The following is a 22,257-nucleotide window of genomic DNA, read 5'->3' as shown; positions in this document are numbered from 1 at the left end:
TTGTACAACATGATGTTTTGATATATGTATACACTGTAGAACAGCTAAATCAAGATAATTATCCATTACCTCACATACGTTTCTTTTTGTAGTGAGAACGTTTAAAATCTACTCTCATAGCAATTTTCAAGTATACAATACATTGTATTAATTACAGTCACCATGTTTTACAATAGATCTCCTGAACCGAACTTATTCCTCCTGTCTAACTAAAATTTTGTGTGCTTTGACCAACATTTCCCCAACCCGTAACGTTTGGTAACCTCTGTTCTCCTCTCTGCTTCTATAAGTTTGATATACTTAGATTCCATATACAAGTGAGATGATGTAGTGTTTGCATTTCTGTGCCTGTTTTTTTTTGTTGTTGTTGTTGTTTTGTTTTGTTTTTTGCTTACCCTAATGTTCCTTGGGTTCACCCATGTTTTCACAAACAGCATGACTTCCTTATTGTTAAAGGCTGAATAGTAGTGTGTTTCTTGAACAGAGAACACATGGTGACAGAATGGGTGTCCCCAGTAGGTGGCTGAATCAAGGCCTTGAAAATACTGGGTGCTTGTATAACCTTCAGTGTACCCTGGATATCTAGTGTTAGCTGTATATTTAGTATATCATAAGTATCTTGTGCCCAGGTGTCTTGTTTATTTCAGGCCTCATGAATATAGTTATCTCTTTGTCCTCCCATTTCTTAACCTATGTATGATATACTTATTAATTTCCATGAATACATAACACATGACTTTCATACATCCACTTCCCATTCATTTTCTTGCTCTCTATAGAGGAAATAAATATTCTCAAATTATACAAAAAATGCATATTACATATGGCTTTCTTGGAGCCCTTTCTAGAGATTGTAGAACACTTCAAAACTTTAGGCATATCAAAATCTGTTTCTAGCTTCCTTGAAAAGAGAAAAAGTGTCTACAGGTGACAAGGAAAATCCTGCAGATACTTGTATTCAAAGGAAGTCTGAAAAAGTCTGATTGGATAAAAAATAACGGAAAAAGGCATGTAAAAGTATCTTCAGTTCTGCTTTGCTTGGATGAGGCACCTTCCAGAGAAGTTAGCCGTTAGGGTGTGTGTGTGTGTGTGTGTGTGTGTGTAAGGGATATAGTCCTTATGACCTCTGCTTTTGGTTTGGCATTAGAGGGGGCTACTTCGCAGGAGACATCTGGTTGTGGGAAGCAGGGTGGCGAGGCTGGCGCTGAAGTCCCAGACTTGGTCTTCCCTGGCCGGGCTCCAGCGCCGTCTGCTCCGCAAAGGCATCTATGCCGAGCGTGTCGGGGCCAGAGCGCAGGTGTACCTGGCGGCCGTGCTGGAGCACCTGACCGCCGAGATCCTGGAGCTGGCTGGCAACCCGGCCCGCGACAAGAAGACCCGCATCATCCTGCGCCACCTGTAGCTGGCCATTCGCAACGGCGAGGAGCTTAACAAGCTGCTGGGCGAAGTCACCATCGCGCAGGGCGGTGTCCTGCCCAACATTCAGGGCGTGCTTCTGCCCCAGAAGACCAAGAGCCACCACAAGGCCAAGGGCAAGTAACGTCCCCAGATAATAAAGCCCAGCAGAGCAGATGACCTACTTTTCGAGGGGAAAGAAAAAGTAAAACCAAAAGCCAGCCACGAGTTCAAGTAAAAGCATAGGCAGATAATGCCCAAGAGTATTTCAACAAAGTCTCTCCATTCCTTTCATTCATTACCCTGATACTCTCCACTTTGTTTTCTTTACCAATATTATGTCACATTGGTTTCCTGAAAGCTGAGTTTAGCACTGGATTTCAATGCAAGCTGTATTAGGTTGGTGCAAAAGTAATCGCGGTTTTTGCCATTATTTTAACGCGCGCGCGCGTGTGTGTGTGTGTGTAAGGGATATAGTCTTTATGACCTCTGCTTTTGGTTTGGCATTAGAGGGCACTACTTTGCATGGGACATCTGGTTGTGGGAAGCCATTACTTTTAATGGCAAAAACCGCGATTACTTTTGCATTAACCTAATAATTTTGTGAAAGAGATTTTTATGTGGTATCCAGAAAAGCACTTATAAAACAGTTTTGTTCATGTGGGCTGTTTTATTTGCCATCAAGTTATAATGAATTTGTCAACTGATGATTAATTTCTTCAAGCCTAAGGGACATGCTTTAGTGCTTTTTATTTGGCATGTTTAAGATTGTATTTAGCCTTTAGATATTTTACTATAGGGAGGTATGTATGTGCCAATTGGTTGAAGGTTTCACTCTGTGGGCTGTCAGCTTTCCCAAGAGGTCTCATTCTAGGGTGGTCAGCCAGGCTGATGTAAAAGAGGGTTACAGGCCAAAGGACGCTCCTGTAATGGCCTCTATCAGCCACATTTCTGCCAAAGCTGGACTCTGCAGAGTCCAGATCTGGAGAGTTCAGTAAGGTCTGTAACCTGTAGTTTTATGGAGGATACCCTAGGCTTCATTTCTAGATAAGCTTGTGTCCAAAGCATTGGTTTAGATTGATTTCCTTTTGCCTGATACTAACTCTAAGGGTAACAAAATCCTGTCTCTGGAATGGTGTTGCATCTGCTAGGAATGAACATTTGGCGCAATCTGATGGTTAGATGGTTTCATAAATATCTGTACATATGGCAGATGTTAGTCTAAAATTTACTTTTATTAAACCTAACTTTAGATCACCTTAAGTTTCTTTGATGGCTACCATTGTCTAACAACTAGAAGCTTACGTCAGTTCCCAGACTGGACTGTGGAATAGAGTTTGACCTAGAGTAAAGAAAGAAGCATGCGTACAAAACACAACCTTTGACTTTGGAGTCCAGAGGAGAAATAGATGTAGCTGCCCAATAAACCCACAGGGTAATGAAAAGTGAAGCAATTACATGGTTGAACAATTATCTTCTAGGCCGTCCTTTTTGAAAGTCCAACCAAAAGCATTATGTCTGGGAATCAGAGGCATTATCAATAGAAATAAAATACATAAAACGTGCAGTAAAGAGAAGAATTTTAACCCTTTTGGAGTATGACTGACCTAGAGTAAAAAATATACATTTTTAAAGTGTGCTGCAATACTAATATATAGGCTTATATGTAAACACATGTGTTGCAGCATCGAAAGTTTCACAAAATAATCCTGACTCTTACTAAGTGGGATGCACTATGATCTGTTCCATTCTATTTGGGCCTCATCCATCTTGTTTAAAAAACCATAGTGGCTAAATTGATAAGAGGTGCTAAATTGATAAGAGTAATGACCTGTAGGTTGAAAATCATTGGGATGATGGGAGTGACCAATCAGACAACTTGGCACTGCACCCACAAGGCTGCAACAATTGGTTCAAATGGTAATAAAGTACTCTGGGCTGGGCCAATAAGAGCCTCTCCTAGGTTTTGAACACAGCTGCTTTTTCTTCGCTTTCATGGATGTGATGAATGAGACTCCAAAACTGCCAACAGACTTGTCTGTTGCCTCTTGGAGTAGATTTAAGAGAAGGGAGAAGGTGCAAAAGAACAGCTGAAATAAGAGTTCCAAAGGTCTTCATTTATTTTGGGGCAGAGATTTAATTCCAGTCTCTGGTCCCTGGAACTGTGCTTGTTACAGCTGCTCATTCTTATATTCTGTGACCTACCTCAGTCTCCATATTTTCTTTTTCTCTTTCTTTCTCTTCCAAAGCCATTTCAGTTGGACTTCTATCACTTGTAAGCACAGGTGTCTGACAAATAGAAGCCACAACTGAGTACAATAAAAACTAAACTCTGCAATACAAAGGCCAATAAATAGGTTTGGCCCTTAATCCTCTCTTGTAACAACATTGACATGATCTTGCTCCTCATCCTGGTTTAGCACCAAGAGAAAAATAAGAGTCTGAGTGGGAGAGGGAGGAATCAAAAGGAACTGAGCCAAATTAAGAGCTTTTGGTGTAAATGTTGGAAGCTGAGAAAAGCCATGTCAAGCCGCAGCAAACTCCCCTTCATAAAGGAGGCAGAGGGAAAAAATAAAATAAAAAAGAGGAGAATAAGAGAGAAATTACCCTTTTCATTTTTCTCCAAGCTAAGACTTGCAATCTAGCTACACTTTAAGTGATTGATGTGGTCACTAGGGGCTAAGAAATAAAAATGTTTCAGGTAAGAACATGGAGCTCCCAGATTCAAAATGCCAGCACCTCATACACCCATCCCGGCAGCACAACCAACATTCACCCTCATCTGCTAAGACAAGTTCTCAGAATCAGAAAGTTCATTAACCTGAACTTCAGTAGTAAATAACATTTAAGTTTTGGAAAGGTATTCTTCTATTTGGCAATTCAACACCATCGCTTGTAACAAAAACCAATAGACAAGTACAACTCAACATCCTCAAGACAGAGCACCAAAATTAACAGAAAAACTAGAACCCCTCTCCAAACTAGAAGAATGTTAGTATAAATATTTAACATAAATAAATGAATAATATCAGAAATATATGCTGACATACTTAAAACAAAAATTAGATATGTGAAAAGGAAGGTTTTCTTAGAAATGACAAATATCCTTAGAATTAGGGAAGAAGGAAAGAAATAAGAAAGGAAGGGAAAGAGGAAGGAAAGAATAAGAAAAAAATGAAGCAGGGAAGAAGGAAGGAAAGGAGAGAAGGAGGGAAGGAGGGAGGAAGGAAGAAGGAAAGAAGGAAGGAAGGAAGGGAAGGAAGGTAGGCAGGTGATCTCAGGAATTTGGAAGAAAATTGATACAGGTGAAATTCACAGTAATGCCAAGATACAAAAGGAAGAATAATGAGAGGGAAATTTTATAGGAAACTGATGTTGAAAGTTGGTTTCAATGTTTGCGTAACAGATGAAATAGTCTGGAGGGTAAGAGAATGGACACAACAGCCAGACTTTCTGGGTGGTTGGATTCCTGACTCCGTAGCTTACTAGCAAGTTACTTAACCTCTCTGTAAACTGGCATAATAATAGTACCTACCATAGAAGTTTGCTATGAGAAGTAAAAGTGTTATTGTATGTAAAGTGCTTAGAATAGTGTTCAGCACGTATTTAGTGTTAAATAGGCCTTATTACAAGGAGTCTCTGAAAAGGGGGTGAGGGGCAGAGTAGAAGAATGATTACAAAGAAAGAGATAACCACCATCTTTATTTGAGGATATATTTAGTAAATTAAATTATATGGAAAATTATTTTGGAATATTGGTTGGAATGGCATATGGATTAGTCTGGAGAGACGAGATTTTTACATTTTTGAATGTTCCTGTTCATAAAAATGTTATGTCTCTTTATTTAGTTCGACTTCAATACCTTACAATAAAGCTTTACAATTTTCTGCGTAACGATCTTCTACATCTTTTATTAGATTTATTCCTAGGTTTTATATCCTTTTGTGGCTGTTACATTCTTTTATTGCCATTGTGAATTGTATCTCTTTTTATAATATCTTTTTTTTTGTTTTGGGCTGGTAATTAAAATGCAGTCAGTCTTTGAATATCACTTTTCCATCTGTCAAATTTGCCAAACTCACATTAGTTAAGTAATTTATGTACAGATTTTTTTTGTTTTCTTATGTAGACAATCATATCATCTGTTAATAATCATAGTTTTACTTGTTTTCTAATTGCTTCACATTTCTTTCTTGTGTTATTGTGCTAGTTAGGCCTTCCAGTGAATAGATGTAGCAAACACCTCTTTTATGTATCTGATTGTAACAGGAAGATTCACCTTCGGAATGTTTGTTGTAGGTTTTACAGATGCTGTTTATTAAATACAGGGAATTTTATTTTATTCATTGTTTCTAGGGAATGCTATCCCTTTACATTTCTTTTTGGAATGCATACAGTAACAATATTTTTTGACTGATGGCTGACTGCCTCCAACTTTTTAATTAAATTATATTTGATTATTTTGAATGAATTTGATTTTTAATTGCTTTATTTCAATCATGAATATTAATCATGACGTCTCAGAGGTGGTCATAGAAATAATAATGGTAATGATAATTATGACAGATGACCTTCATTGATTGATTTTCTGTTATATGCAAAGTATGGTGGATGGTTTCATTTTGTTTCATGATTTATTCCTAATTTTTTTCAATGATCTCCAAGTGAGACTCAACAAAGTAAAATACATTTACTCTAAGTCCCTGGTAGTAGGTGAAGTTGTCTTGATATGAATTCAGCATGGTATAATTTTGTAACTTGTGCTGGTTAAAGAATGCAACACTTTCTCACTTGATAATTATGACATCCTTTATGCACTACAGATATCAATTTTGTTTACTATTCTATCTGAAAGCATATAACACCTCAGCCCATAAGCACTCCTGATTTTTTTTTTGTGTATTCTCCTAGAGATTATACTTGTCACAATTGTTCTTTCTTCTTTTCCATAGCCATTGTCCTCAATATATGATTTTGCAGTTTTAGCTGGGCATTCCTGGCAAAATAGTTGCTGAAAGAAATGGCATCGAAACTGGAAAGTAGACTAGAAAGCAGACATGTGTAAGGAAAAAAGTAAGACGTGTTTTCAGTATGGCAATCTAGGACATAAGTTAATGCATTGTGTAGATAACAAAAAATGCACCATTTTGCTCAGCGATAGAAGACAAAATAATAGAGATGGAGTGTTCCACTAGTGTTCTAGATGGACTTCCAAGCCCATGACCAGATGATGTCAGCCTGATAACTACAGTGACCAGATTGACCCCATTTGTCATAGAGATGGTAAGGCAAAACAGGAGTCTGACTTGAACTTGGAGAAAAAAGGATTTGCCAGAACCATGAAGATGTAAGGTTCTGAGCAGATATAACATCACATATGGGTTCATTGTTTAGACCAGAGTGTGTGTGAAAAACCAGCCAAGCTCCAGTGAATGACCACTGCCATTTAGTCAAGTCTTCTGTTTTAAGACTTAGGCTCATTCAGTGTGTTTGCTTGACAGCTACCCCTGATTCATCAGAATCCCTGCTGACATTGTGAGCTTTGAGGGAAGGTCTGACTCTTAAAGGTGCTTCCTCTCCCTGGACCCATCCTGGGCTTCCTCTAGGAAGACTAGAGACAGGTTTCCTATGATCACAACAGGATTGTGCACTGGAGTCCTCTGAAATGTAACCCAGAATCAGAGCCTGCATCCTGCTGAGCTGTCATGTGACTGATTATTAACAACAATGTTCACAGTCTTATGAAACAAGTCTGAAGATAGCTGTTTTTTTTTTTTTTTTTGGTTGTTGTTTTGTTTTAGAGAGAGTCTTGCTGTGTCATCTAGGCTGGAGTGCACTGGCATGATCATAGCTCACTGTAACCTTGAACTCCTAGGCTCAAGGAATCCTCCTCATCAGCCTCCTGAGTAGTTAGGACTACAAATGCGTCCTCCATCTCCAGCCAATTTTCTAAAAAAAATTTGTAGAGAGGAGGTCTCACTGTTGCCCATGCTTGTCTCAAACTCCTGGCCTCAAGTAATCCTCTGGCCTTGGCCACCCAAAGCACTGGGATTACAGGCGTGAAGCACCACGCCTGGCTAAAGATAACTGTTAAAGGAGAAATGTGTACTCTATCTTTTCTGATGATCCCCATGGCTAAAACAAAGCAGTTTAAAAATAAATCTTATTCAAAAGGAAAATGTAAAATTCTTTTTTTAAAAGAGATGGATATTACAACCTAAGTCAAGGAAATATCTCAATTCATATTCAAGTGTTTAATCATAGAGGTGAAGAAAAGCTGAATTGTTATTCTTTCTACACAGAGACAATTTGGGTCTATTTCTACCAAGTCAAACCAAGTAGCATGTAAAGAACTCAGGAGCACTTTAAATAAAGTTAAACATTAAATTGCAAAACCAAGTAACGTTTTCTGACTTGGATAATTCAGGGTCAGAAACATTTCCTGTGATATGTGAATCCCAAAGTTGATCATTATTTATCCCAGGGTCCAGAGTCCTTCAGAAATGACTCAGGGAAAAATCTTTTACCTAGAAAGGTGAAATTGACACTACCCCCACACGATAACGGGCTTAAATTTTCCATACTTAAATTCTTAAAGTGCAGATGGAAGAAATCTGTTTTTTTTCTTTTATGTTATAAAGAATATAATAAAACTTACCTGAAAGCATTGTGAGGATGACATGTAATAAATGCGCAGTAAATGGTAGCTCTGACTCCCCAGGACCCGGGTTCCTCCTTCTGAATTCTTGATCTGTGATATATACTGCCAGGCTCCCACTTCTCAGCCAGGGTGTTGAGAGGTAGTTTACTCACTCTCCTCTCACAATACAGTTCAAATAGGTATAAAGAGTCAAACTTAGAATCTAAAGGAGATCTCCTCAGGGCCATAAAGTAAGAAGGGATTTAAAGTCAAAGTGATGAGTATGAGCTAAGGCCAGGAAAGCCATTAAAGCACAGAACAAGGTGTAAATTTCCATGGCTGACTCTAATGCTCATATAAAGAAAGGAGTCTGGATTATGAACCCAAGGCATTCAGAGAGCTGGAAATAAACTACAGAAAGCTAGGAGTCTGAAGGCTTTGCCTCATCTATGAGACAAGGACAAGCAGAACTATACACATTCTTGGAAAGCAGTGACAGTGCTTTTGACTTCCTGGGTGTTAGCGCAAGAGTTAACCACAAGAAACTGAAAGAGTTTGGCCTTCACTGTGCACATGTAGGTATGCCAAATTTATGCCACTTATTTTCCAAAGTGGTTACAGAATGGCCCATAAATGCTACATGATAGCATGTGTGCAAATTTAGAAATAATACAAAGCATTATTACATATAGTTTGTGAATACTCATATAAATAGTAAGAATAGAAAAAAATGGAGAAATCATATTATATTTATGCCAGGCTTGTTTGGTTTGGTTTGGTTTGGTTTGCTGAGAAAAGGACAAGGACCCAGGGAAAGAGAAAGCAACAGAGTGAATGAAGTTCAAGTTTACCCATAATATTACAATTCACATATTTCAAAGAAGAAAAAAATTAACAAAATTTCAATTAAGGGGGAAAATCAAAAATAGCAAAGTAAAAAACACAAAAATACTGAACTCTTTAATTATAATTTATCTCTTTTTAACCTTTTCAAAAAAGACTAAAGACATTGAAGACACCACAAAGCAAAGCAAAATAGCTATATGCAAGTGTCTGAACCAGAGGACACCTATGAGGTCCTGAGGAGACACTCACAAGGGGAAGGTGGAGAAGCTTACATCAGCCAAAAAGCAGAAAGAACTGCAGAGGGGATTGGGCTGGATTTCCGAATGCTTCTTCAAAGCCTATTTGGCAAGAAGCCCTTCTGAGTCAACTTTGTAGTTTGATGACTTTTATTAATGATTAGCAACTTAAGCCCTAGGGTGGCAAAGAATCCTCATCTCTCTGCTCCAAAAAGTCCAAGGGAGTAAGCTTGGAGGAAACGCTGGGTTCAACTTGAAGCCCTTCCACAGACATTAAGTCGGTAAGTCACTTCTCTTGGTATTGAGATGAAGACCTCCAAAACTCTTTTCTGTATAGCAATGGACAATTTTTATATACTCCCCAACCCCAAGTTTCCTCATATGATAAAAATAAAAATGAAAAATGTAAAAATCCATATTAACAAGACTGACAAAAGTGAGGGAGAAGTGGCAGGAAGCTGAAGCTTTGTATCTGATCATCCATATGCTTTGAAACTAGCTAGTGGAGACAGTAGCAGCTATGGAAGATAATTCCAAGAAATAGGCACTCTTGCGAGGTGTTTAAAAGCAAAATTTTGCAGGTCAAACTGGCTTCTGAACAAATATCATCTCTTTCATTTACCAACTGGGTGACCTGGAGGAAGAGGGTCAGTAATATCTCCATCTGGGATTGATGTAGACTGGCTGGTGCAGTAATTTATAAGAGTGGCAATAATAATTATTTCTATTATACCAATGGCTAGGGTGGCTCTGGTCCAAGAAAGCATCTGGAGAAATGCTGCATCAAGATCCAGTGAGTTGGTGTGAAATTTAACCAAACTAAAATGGCTAGGGATAGAAGAGGAAATGGAGAGATGAGGCAATGGGACAGTCACCAGAGTCAGCAGAAGATGGTAGGTGGGCTGAGGGCAGTGGGAAGGAGGGAATCAGGGAGTCCTCAAGGCCAGAATGGAGAAGGTACAACTTTTTGTGGCAGCTGCAACTTCACAGATGTGTGGGAAGATGCTGTTAGAACACTCCCTGCCTTTAAACTAACCATCTCTACTGAAAGCTGATCCTCAATGTGGTTCTCTATGAACACTGCTTTGGACCAGAAACTTCTCAGAGTGCAATATATAGTTTCTGACCCAGATAACCAGCATAGCTTTTTAGTGGAAAATAAAGAGAGCTGTTAAAACAAAAGGGATTTACTTGAGTAAAGCCAAGGTGTAGACAGGCTATAAGACTGATTGGAAGGGCACATTTAAGAGAAGATAATGAGAGTGCATTTTCTATGTTGTGCTACTTGAGCCTGTTCTTGGCTCACCTGTGGGTGCCTTGGGATTTCCCTCTAGATTACTTCTCTTTCCTCTAGTTATAGCCCCAGGGTGTGGGAAGGGTCAGCAGAGCTTGAATCCAGCTTTTTAAGTCAGTGAAATGTTTTGAGGTTACCATGGCAGTAGGTGTCTGTCATGGTGAGGTGGGTAGACCACACCTGCTGGCAGGAGAAGATGTGACATCCTGGTTCACTTAGAGATAGGGTGTTGGTACAAGCTGTGTGCAGGTGGTAGACTGTCATGTGAAACCTTAGATAGCTTTAAAAAGTATTAATATTTTCAAAAGTCAGGAGACAAATGGGAAGATCGGTATGGAATCAGGGGACGTTGACCTGTCTGTGGAGACTGGAGATGATACTGATGAATAGAGGCAGTGGCAATGCAGATGCAGGGCTGGGTATGAAGGATGTCATCTTAGCAAGAGTACCCATGCTTTGCAGAAGAGGTCACATCATTGCAAAGGAAATCAGTGGGAAGTGAAGTCTGACTCATGTTTCAGGGTTTTCATGCCTGAAAAGCATTCATTATATATATAAATATATATATATGTATAAAATATACATATATATAGTAATGAATGTAGTATACATACTACATATCTATTTCTATATGTTTATGTAAGTGTGTGTCTTTGTGTCTTTGTGGATATAGATATGTAGTGTGTATACATACAAACACACCCACACACACAGACACACACACTTAGATGAACATTGTTTGATAAATTTCTTAAGCCCAAGAAGTCCATAAAACAATAAATTAAGCCCAAATTTGTAGCCTTTGCCTTTTTTTTTTTTTTTTTGGCGTTAAAGCTCGTATTATGGCCAATTCCAAGCTACCATCATGACATTACTGAATTCAGAGTTGGGGAGAGATGTGCAATAGCACATCTTTATACAGTATTCCCACCATATAGATACAAGAGATGTAAAAAACCTCAAGAGTGGAGCTTACAATAAAATGCCATGAAATAATTATGAAGTCATAAAGTTAAAATAATACCTTTTAAAAATATAATTAATTGAACTCTAAATTCATATCATTTAATGGATAATGGCTATGTTCAACAACTAGCTTGAAAAATTTCTAAAAACATTAATAATGAGCTCTTTTGGCCCCAAGTGAGTTGGTTCCAGTACATCATTGCCCTACTGTGCACTATTCTTTCTGAGAATAGTTTTAATTCCCTGCCTTAATTCAGGTTCTTCCATGCCTTTATCTATTTACATAATTTTTCCCTCTGATATAACTTACCATACTTGGATATGTCTGTTTGGTTGTTTCATTTCTCTTTTTAGGATCTTCATTTAACCTTAGAAACAAAAAGCCAACCATCCTTCCCATCAAGAAGTTATTGAATTTCTTGGATTGAGACAACAGTCAGATGCCACGTAGCCCTCATCTAAGTTATCTAAGGAAGGGGAAACTAAGAACTTGTTCCAACATCAATAATTCAGAGAACCCAGAGTCTTTTTTTTATTTTTTAATTTTTTTATTACACTTTAAGTTTTAGGGTACATGTGCACAATGTGCAGGTTTGTTACATATGTATACATGTGCCATGTTGGTGTGCTGCACCCATTAACTCATCATTTAACATTAGGTATATCTCCTAATGCTATCCCTCCCCCGCCCCCACCCCACAACAGGCCCTGGTGTGTGATGTTCCCCTTCCTGTGTCCATGTGTTCTCACTGTTCAATTCCCACCTATGAGTGAGAACATGCAGTGTTTGGTTTTTTGTCCTTGCGATATTTTGCTGAGAATGATGGTTTCCAGCTTCATCCATGTCCCTACAAAGGACATGAACTCATCATTTTTTATGGCTGCATAGTATTCCATGGTGTATATGTGCCACATTTTCTTAATCCAGTCTGTCATTGTTGGACATTTGGGTTGGTTCCAAGTCTTTGCTATTGTGAATAGTGCCACAATAAACATTCGTGTACATGTGTCTTTATAGCAGCATGTTTTATAATCCTTTGGGTATATCCCCAGTAATGGGATGGCTGGGTCAAATGGTATTTCTAGTTCTAGATCCCTGAGGAATCGCCACACTGACTTCCACAATGGTTGAACTAGTTTACAGTCCCACCAACAGTGTAAAAGTGGAGAACCCAGAGTCTTAAGCCACCATTCTTGGCTGCTAACATGGGGCGTATTCAAACATGTGGACATCATTTCTGAACTCAGACCCAATTGTTAAGAGACAACATTTTGATCTTCAAGTTTTACCTTCATTTTCCCTTCTGGATTACATATATGGTATCAGTTTTTCATGCTGTGTGTCAGTTGAAAGCAGCTTCACAAACACAACTACCTGTTACTAAAATAAGAGGGTATAACTTTAACCAAACAGATCCTGTTTATGACAGAAATACAGTTCATTTCAGGCAGTCATGAGTCCATGTTGTAGGGGCCTCTAGCAACTATCAGGTTCTCACTAAGCACTTCTTCCTTGCCAGTGGTTGATGATGCAGCACCCAGTCTTTCTGTCATATAACCAAGTTCAAGAATGCAGAGGCTGATGTGCTGTGAAGAGGCCATAGATCTGGGCAACTCCCATTGCTGCTTAATTCAGGATAATCTTGGAGTGGCTTCAGAATGGAAACCTGGCATTTTAGAATGTTCCAATCCAAGCAGAGCCCCTAGTAGGGGGTATAAAGTCTCACAGCAATAGAGTCACATTAAATTCACCTCATAAAGGAGCAGGGGAGTGAGAATAAGTATCATTCAAGGGAGAAAAATTGCTAATGGAAACATCATATTCTTGTTTAGCATTGCCATGTAGCACAAAACAATGCAGGTTGACCCAGCTATGTCATTTGGTAAAATATCTCCCAGGCAATCTTTGAATATAGAACCAGGGCAATTTCCCTAGAAACAGAAGACCTATTTTTAAAATGTACTGGCCACACCATGGAATTAGAATGCCCAATGCCAAGATCTGAAGAGACATTAATACTACACTTATCATACGATCCAGGTATTCCACTTCTAAGTGTTTATCTGAGAGAAATGAAAGCACATGTCTATACAAAGACCTGTACATTAATGTTCACAGCAGCTTTATTTGTAATGTCAAAAAACTGCAAACAATGCAGTTTTTCATCAAAAGGTAAATAAATGGATAAACAAATTGTGATATAGCCATGGGGTGGAATATTACTCAGTAATTAGAAGGAATGAACTATTAATATGTACAACAACATGGATGGATTTTAGAATAATTATACTGAGTGAAATAAACCAGGAGAAAAGTGAGTACATACTTTATAATTCCTGATATGGTTTGGATGTGTCCCCACCCAGATCTCATCTTGAATTGTGGTCCACATAATACCCAAGTGTCAAAGGTGGGGCCAGGTGGAGATAATTGAATCATGGGGGCAGTTTCCCCCATACTGTTCTCATGGTAGTGAAGAAGTCTTATGAGTTCTGATAGTTTTATAAATGGGAGTTCCCCTGCACAAGCTCTCTTGCTTGCTGCCATGTAAGATGTATCTTTGCTCTTTCTTCGCCTTTTGCCATGAGTGTGAGGCCTCCGCAGCCGTGTGAAACTGTGAGTCCATTAAACCTCTTTTTCTTTATAAATTACCCAGCCTTGGGTATGTCCTTATGTCACTCCTGTCTTGGTGAAAACATACCTCTGAATAATAAAACTTTTATTATAAAGAGATACTAAGAAGTTATTCCTTAGTTTGCAACAATGATATCAGGGCAGTTGTGGTTAAGTACTAGTGCTTAGACGTTTAAGAGGATTTAATTTATTAAGCTAACAAGTTTGGTTTATTACTGGTAGAAGCAGTTATATATTTTGAGACTTTTTCTTTAAGAGAATCATAAATTTAATAATATGAGCACTAAACATAGCACAAATATTACAATTCTACACATAGTAACACATAAAAATCTCCTTGGGCATTGAAGATCCTAGTATTGTAATGTAGTAATGGTTCTTTTCAGTTCTCTTATATGCAAAAAGGTCACAACCTCCATGTTAGTTATTTCTAGAACTCTACAGACACATCATCAACCTATGGACAATAATAATATGAGATTTGAATGTTATCTTCTCACTATGCAACTTTGGTCCCCAATTATGAGTGACACACATATCAGCGATACTTACAGTGAGTCAAATGAGGAAGCAGTGTGGGAGTTGTCAGGGGTAGTAGAAGCCAGGTTCTCAGGTGCAGGTAGAGGATTCCAGAGGAGCATAGCTCTGAGGTGACCCACTGCTATGGTAGCTCCAGTGATGATGACAATAAACTGTATTATACAGCTTTTACTTATTGGGTGTCTGGCAGTGTTCTAGGCATGTGCAATCTGTTTAAGCCAACAGCAACTTTTTGATGAAGATGTTGTTGTTATTAACAACAGATGAGGAAACTGAAACACACAAATGTGCTCCTAGTGGCACTTGGCACAGTAAATCATGAACCTGAGTTTGAACTTGGGAATGCTTAACTCCAAAGCCATTGCTCATAAACTGGCACACCAAGAGCACTCTAGATCCTAATAAATAAACAATTCCAAACCTTACGTGCAGTATGCTTGTTGTGTTGAGCCAAGAGGGGATAATGAGCCTCCCTGTCTCCAACCAGATGGAATGGGCCAGCTTTTTTTTCCTTGGTGCCCTTGTTTAAATATTTCAACGGGGAGTCTCTTTCTCTCAACTGATGCATGTGAATTACATATCTCCCTGATAGGTGAAAACCATTCACTAGGAGAGGAGAAACACAATGGCCACCAAGACAGAGTTGAGTCCCACAGCAAGGGAGAGCAAGAACGCACAAGATATGCAAGTGGATGAGACACTGATCCCCAGGAAAGGTAAATTTGACCTCAACTGCTTGGTTTTAGGATTTTACAGTGAATTCTTTTTGTCAACGTATTACTATAAAAATGAATTTGTGATTTTTAAGTTCTTTAATTCTTTTTACAAATCCAGTGAAATTAACATATTTTGCAAATATGAAGGAAATAAAAATTACTAAAAAGAAGTGTTTTATTTTTGACAGTTATCTTTCAATCTGTATCTATCCAATCTTTACATTCTTGATAATTGCTACTGAATTGTCTACACATAGTATTGTGTGTCCTGCTTGTGATTGCATGTAATATTTTAAACATAACTGTATTGCTTAATTTAAAAAAGTAAAAAAAACTAATTATAGATACTTCAAAAAACAAGAAATAAAAAGATTGTCATAAGCTTAATTCAATGACTATAATTTAATTTTATTGCCTTTATTTTGTATGCATATTTTGAATAGTTCTATAGTTTATGTATTGTGTTGTATATTTTCTAACTTGACAGCATATAGTTTTCCATATTGCTTTATTAGATTCACAAAGTGTGAATATCTTTGTGAATCTTATAAAGCAATATGGATTCTTAAAGGATACACATTATATTCCAACATATCCAATAGATGAAGTATTTCTTAGCTGAAAAATCTTCTTGTGACTGGATATTTAATTTGTAGGGTTTTCTTTTGTTACTCGGCTATTATATCTATATATGAACTATATATGTTACTTAGGTTATTAGATGTTTATGAACTATGTATGTAAGTTATGATATATGATGATAAATGAATATTATTTAACATGACACTAGTCCACATTGGAATTATTTCTTCAGGGTTTATTCCTAAGAAATGAAAATTGTGAGGCAAAGAGTTTACGTATTTCATTTCCTTTGTTCACTACAGAGACGTTAGTTTTTAATCCAAACAAAAATAAAAACACAGGGAGGATTTTGAGCAGAAGAGGAGGTGATTTTATTCATGGTATGGTGAGAATACTCCAACTGCTGTATTGAGAATAGATTAGAAGCAAGGAACCAAGCTGAAGGTTACTGCAGAAATTCAGGCAGGAGATATTGGTAACTAGAACCACATGGAATTAGCTCTTAGCCAAAAAATAACAGTGGCCCTTGTGAGAAGTTGTTGGATTCTATACACATTTTGAATATGAAGACCATAGTACATTCCAGATCAAGGATTGCAAAGTGTTTGGAAGAATGAGATTTCTATCAACTGAGCTGGGGAAGACTCTGGGTAGAAGTTTTGAGGTGGTAGGGCTCAAGAGTTTGGTTTTGGACCTATTCAGTTTGATCTGTTAATCAGTTGATCAATTGAGTTTTAGTGGAACAAAAATTACGATGTATCAATGGTGTCTTCAGTTTGACAAAATGCAGTATTATTGTATTATATCTATGCTTTATTTTAATTTAAAACATGCTATTGCACCAATAGTATTTTCCACTTATGTAACCAATTATCTTAGCAGTACTAATTACATGATCTAGTTTTCTTCCATTAATTGCCACAACACCATTTACACACTGCATGATTCTTTTGGATGTTTTTCTATTGTTCCTTAGATTTTTCTGAGTATTCTTATTCTTCAATACAATAATGTCTTAACATTTTAGTCTCATGATAAATTTTGTAATGCAAATATTTTTCAATACCTCCCAAAATTCTTGTATAGTCATTCAACTAGGCTTTATTATTTTTTGCCAACTGTACTCATTTTCTATTTCTGCATGCATATTACCATAAACATAGTAGTCTGAAACAACATACATTTATTATCTTACAGTTTCTGTGGCTCAGAGCTCCAGGCACAGTTTGGCTTAACTGGTTCTTCTTCTCTGGGTCTCACAAGGCTACAATTGATTGGTTGATTAAGTTGCATTCTCATCTGCAGTATAGACTAGGGAAGAGCCCACTTCCAGGCTTATTCAGGTTGTTGGAAAAATTCATTTTCTTATACCTGTATGACTGAGGGCTCTGGCTGTTTGCTAGATTTTGGCTGAAGGCCATTCTCAGGTCTTAGAGGATGTTTGTGGTTCCTTATCGTGTTAGGTTCTCCAACTTCCTGCTTACTTCATCAAGCCCACATGAAGAGTGTTTATCTTTAGTCTGCTAAGATGGAGTCTTATATAACATAATGTAATCATGGGGGTGACGTCCCATCACCTTTGCCGTATTCTGTTGGATACAAGCAAGTGAAAGGTCCTGGCCCCATACAAGGGAAGGGAATTAGATAAAAGTGAGGATACCATGAGGTGGTAATCACTGGGGCCACCTTAAGGTCTGTCTGTCACATCAAATTAAGAAATAAGCTTTCTGGATTCTGAGTACAGTAGTACTGAATTCATTAATATAACCTCTCACATTCAAAAACCTATGATTTCATGGTGTCAGTGCCCTCTTCCAGTAGTTAAATAGAATACCCTCAGGTGCTTCTTAATTTACAATTTCTCACATGCATACAGACCCACACATTCTTGTATAGCTAGGGGTGATCACAAAAAAATTTAACAGACAGCACATCACTGGCACCAATCTATTAGAGTAGGCACAACTGGTATAGTTCATTCAGAATGGACACAGGACACAAATAACTTTTAAGGACACAAATAGTGGGCTGTAGGAAACACTTAACATCTGGCAAGCACCAGACTAAGCCTTTTAAATACACTCTCTAGTTAATCTTTCAACATTCTCATGAGGCAAATGTTCAACCTCCTCATTTGTAAGCCATTAGTCTCTTGGTTTGCTGATACCCTTTTTGGTAGCTTTTGACACCTGGGATCCCAAGGGAACTTGGGAAAATCAGAGGCCACAAGAACTCACAAATTATTAGTTGACTTGATTGATAGAGGAAGTCACCACCAGTGCTGAATCAGATTGAAAAAAACCCTTACAAAGATACTATGTTTCAGTTAATTCACTACAAAGACTTGTACTTCATCAATAGAAGATAGCATAGCCATAAGGGGAATCCTCCTTTATTAATCTCAAGGCACCTCTTTATCCCACATCACAGAGCCACATAAACCCTACAGCTGGGTGCACGTGGATTGTATTAATCACAGAAGTATTCTCATGGAATCATCTTGGACAAAACAGAAGCCACCATATATATGTGCTACAGTAGTTAAGAGCATAGACACATGAGCTACATTGTGAGCTGGTCTCTCTGTGCCTGTGTTTCTTCATCTGTAAAATAGTAGTAATAGCTGCTTCATAGCGTTATTGTGAGGATTTGACATCATGTTACATGACCTATCACAGACATTTGAAGTACCTACTGACTTCCTCTTCCCTGAAACTCTTGTCCCCTTGGCTTCCAGGACACCGCACTCTCCTGGTTTTCTTCTTATCCCACCACCCATTCCTTTTCACTTTCCTTTGTTTGTTCCTCCCCCATCTATTCAACCTCCAAACACTGAAGAGCCCCAGAGTTAGTCTTTGGTTCTCTTCTCTATTTATTTCAATTTCCCAAGTTTTATGGCTTTAAGTATCTTCTGTAGGTTATTAACTCCCAATGTTATGCCTCAACTCCTACTTCTCTTCTAAACTTAAGAACTGTATATCCAACATGCTCAACATCTTCTCTTTGGTGCCTAAGAGGCATCTCTGTTTTAACAAGTCCAGTAGGAAGCTCTTGACCACCCTACCTTACAAACCTGCTCCTTCCAAGAACTTTCTTCCTAGGAAAGCAGAACTTCATTCTTCTTGTTGTTTAGAACAAGAACCTCTCAAACTCCCCTTCTCCTTGCCTTCCACCCACCTGTAAAACTGAAACTCTTATTTGGTGTTTTTTCCACGCTGGGATTTATCTGGGGTCTGACCACATCTTAGCTACTGCCATGACCCTAATCCAAGATAGCTTCACTTCTCTTCTGAATTATTGCAATAGCTTCCTAACTGTACTTCCTCCCTATCGTTTTGTTCTCATTTCTGCAGCCAAAGAGATCCTTTCAAAATGTAAGTCATATCATGTCCCCCTTCTGCTGAAAACCCTCCAGTGGCCCCCATCCCACTCAAAGTAAAAGCCAAAGTACCTGCAATGGCCCACATGTCTTGAACAATTCAGGCCTCATGATCTAGCTTTCCTGACATCTCTTCTTGTACCCCTGGCTCACTCCATTCTGTCATAATCCCCTCTTTTTGATTCTTTGAACATACCAGGCGCTCTCCAACCAGCTCCAGGGGTGTTCCCTCTACTTGTTATGTTCTTTCCCCAGAGGTCAGCATGACCACCTCTCTGGTATGTCATTGGGACTTCCTCCTTTCTTGCTTTATTTTCTCTACAGCATTTATCACCTTCTAATACATTATTTGATTTACTGTTTGTGTTTCATATTTTGTGCTTCTCTCTGGAATGTGAGGTCCCCAAACACAGGGCTATTTGTGTGCTATGTTTGCTGCTACACTTCTAGGGCCCAATATTGGAGGTGATTGATGAGTGTTTTGTTCGATGATTGATTGAAGATGTCAAATCTGGACTGGAGGACGTGGCCTAGAAGAGTGGTCAATCCAGCTCCCTGCTATTTCTCCTGCATTGAATAGATTTATCCACCCAAGCATAGGGTGAACTGGACAATCCCAGGCTTGCTCTGCTAAAGTAGCTACATGGTAGGAGAGTAGACAGCTTCCAGGCAGTCTGGAGAAGATACAGAGCTACACATGCTCAATTTATTTACCCAGTCTCATCGATTGAAGTCCCTTTTCTTCCCACGCAGAAAAAAGTGAAAGGGTACACATGCTCCATTTATTTACCCAATCTCATTGATCTAAGTCCCTTTTCTTCCCACACAGAAAAAAGTGAAAGGGTTGGAGAGAGTTCCAAAGAGCTGCTCTGCCTGAAGTCCTTGTGTAATAAATCTGAGCCCAGATAAATACAGCTTCTTGGCTCATACATTTTATATTTTATTTGCTCTTCAAATTGGACTGTTAGCTGTGTTCTGCCAGGATACCTTCTACTCACTTAATATAATGTTGCAAGACTTTTTAAGAAGTTGAGTAGAGACCTAACCTTTGAAACTTTTATACCATTCAATCTCATCTGATTCTTTCCCCAGATTTTAACTTCTGAAGAGTTCTTTAATTTCAACCATAAATGCCGATTTCCCTATGTTTTACTACATTTTTTGGACAATTTAGCCAGGATCTGGAAAACGGAGAATGAGATTTCTGCGTTTTAGTTGCCATCTTTCCTGGCTGTACAAATACAGATTATTTGAATGCTGTGCTCATTTCTTTTTCCACTATTTTTCACTTGAGTGAAAAATATAAATGACCTATACCAATGGACAACTCTCTTCAAAGTGTAACTTACATTTCATTTACATACATAAAATTTATACATATTATACATAATATATAGTGCATAATATATAACAATACATGTCACATATAAATTATATGCTATACATGTATATATAGTTATACATACAAAGTATATGTAATATATTATAAATTATATGTAGCTATTTAAATATGTGCACATATTCATATGTATATATTTTCTTTTCATATATATGTGTTACATATACACACACACACATATGTATATGCATTTACTTGTGAGTAATTTCATCAACTGTAGAACACAATGACCTAGGAATGGTAGATACAAAATTCTAGGATGAACAGAACCCCCGAGATCAAGTTAGGCTCTACAAAGCTGTGGTATAAAACGTCCTTTAGCTCAACTCAGTGATCTCCTTTTGTATCTTCCTTTCATAAAGCCAACAGAAGTGTCATTTAAGTAATGATTTAAATCGTTAAGTGATCAGGTACTTTTTAAATCATATCTTGTGAAAAACTAATGTTAGCTCAATTTTAAAAAACACTAATATGATGTCATAATATTTCCAGTTCCAAGTTTATGTTCTGCTCGCTATGGAATAGCCCTCGTCTTACATTTCTGCAATTTCACAACGATAGCACAAAATGTCATCATGAACATCACCATGGTAGCCATGGTCAACAGCACAAGCCCTCAATCCCAGCTCAATGATTCCTCTGAGGTGCTGCCTGTTGACTCATTTGGTGGCCTAAGTAAAGCCCCAAAGAGTCTTCCTGCAAAGGTAAGCAACATAAGATATAAATTTGTGCTTTTCTTTTTGCTGTTTATTTGCTTGGATATTTATTTTTCTAGAGTATGTATGTTTAAAAACTTTAATGGAGAAAATAGTGATTTGAAAGCAAGCAAAAGGTCTAAAGGAGCTTTCTAGGGTATGTAAGAACCTTTTTGTGTAAGGTTTACTACAGCATTCTCTGTTTCTCTAAGGCTCCTGTGTATGACTGGTCTCCTCAAATCCAAGGCATCATCTTTGGTGCTGTTGGCTATGGTGGCATACTGACAATGGCTCCCAGTGGATACCTGGCTGGAAGAGTAGGAACAAAGCGAGTGGTTGGCATTTCTTTGTTTGCAACTTCATTTCTCACTCTATGCATCCCTCTGGCCACTGACTTTGGAATAGTCTTGCTCATTGTAACTCGAATAGTCCAGGGCCTAAGCCAGGTACCCAATATTTTATAAATCTGAGTTGGATATGAATTTCTACATGGCACCACACATTAAGAACTCTAATCATTTTAATTTCAGTCCTCAATACTTGGGGGTCAGTTTGCAATTTGGGAAAAGTGGGGCCCTCCACAAGAACGAAGCAGACTCTGCAGCATTGCTTTATCAGGTAAGGACATGTAATCCAAATGGGTACACTACAATCCAACATTTTCCCACTGGGTTCCTTGACAACTTTTCATTGCATAGTTCCTCATCATCTGCTCAATGTCAGTGAAGTATTTTTAAATTAAAAAGACTGGTCCTTTGTCTATGACATGACTTTCAGTTATTTTCCCTAGGATGTCATTTGTGGCATGACTTTGCCTTTACTATGACTTGGAGCATTTAAAAAGTATTTTTATGTGTTCAAATTGATCATTTTCATGGCATCTGGATTTTGAGTCATAGATGGAAAGGTTATAAAAAAAACTCCACCCATGCT

At 38.0% G+C, this 22,257-nt stretch overlaps 1 protein-coding gene and 1 pseudogene across 2 annotated transcripts in view, besides 1 other annotated feature; both read left to right on the top strand.

Moving 5' to 3' along the window:
• Positions 819-1,333: an enhancer, noted in NCBI's record as "H3K27ac-H3K4me1 hESC enhancer chr6:25882461-25882975 (GRCh37/hg19 assembly coordinates)". NCBI's record gives its function as "activates a minimal SCP1, AML or CMV promoter by ChIP-STARR-seq in naive H9 embryonic stem cells {active_cell/tissue: H9 hESC(naive)}" and the evidence as "EXISTENCE:reporter gene assay evidence [ECO:0000049][PMID:30033119]".
• Positions 1,150-1,640, top strand: H2AC3P (H2A clustered histone 3, pseudogene; annotated as a pseudogene).
• Positions 9,323-22,257, top strand: part of SLC17A3 (solute carrier family 17 member 3) — a 29,388-nt gene continuing 16,453 nt past the window's right edge. The window contains exons 1-5 of one of the 2 annotated variants that reach the window (NM_001098486.2): positions 9,323-9,399; positions 15,146-15,269; positions 21,122-21,333; positions 21,537-21,770; positions 21,855-21,942. In NM_001098486.2, coding sequence (NP_001091956.1) covers positions 15,179-15,269; positions 21,122-21,333; positions 21,537-21,770; positions 21,855-21,942 — 625 coding nt within the window. In that variant the 5' untranslated portion in view covers positions 9,323-9,399; positions 15,146-15,178. The remainder of the gene's footprint in view (positions 9,400-15,145; positions 15,270-21,121; positions 21,334-21,536; positions 21,771-21,854; positions 21,943-22,257) is intronic. The other variant, NM_006632.4, reaches the window with a different exon arrangement.

The sequence above is a fragment of the Homo sapiens genome, chromosome 6 (assembly GCF_000001405.40).
Source record: "Homo sapiens chromosome 6, GRCh38.p14 Primary Assembly".
In the NCBI taxonomy this organism is placed as follows: Eukaryota; Metazoa; Chordata; class Mammalia; order Primates; family Hominidae; genus Homo; species Homo sapiens.
Note: the sequence above shows the minus strand (reverse complement) of the source record. Positions and strands in the feature narration are given on the sequence as shown.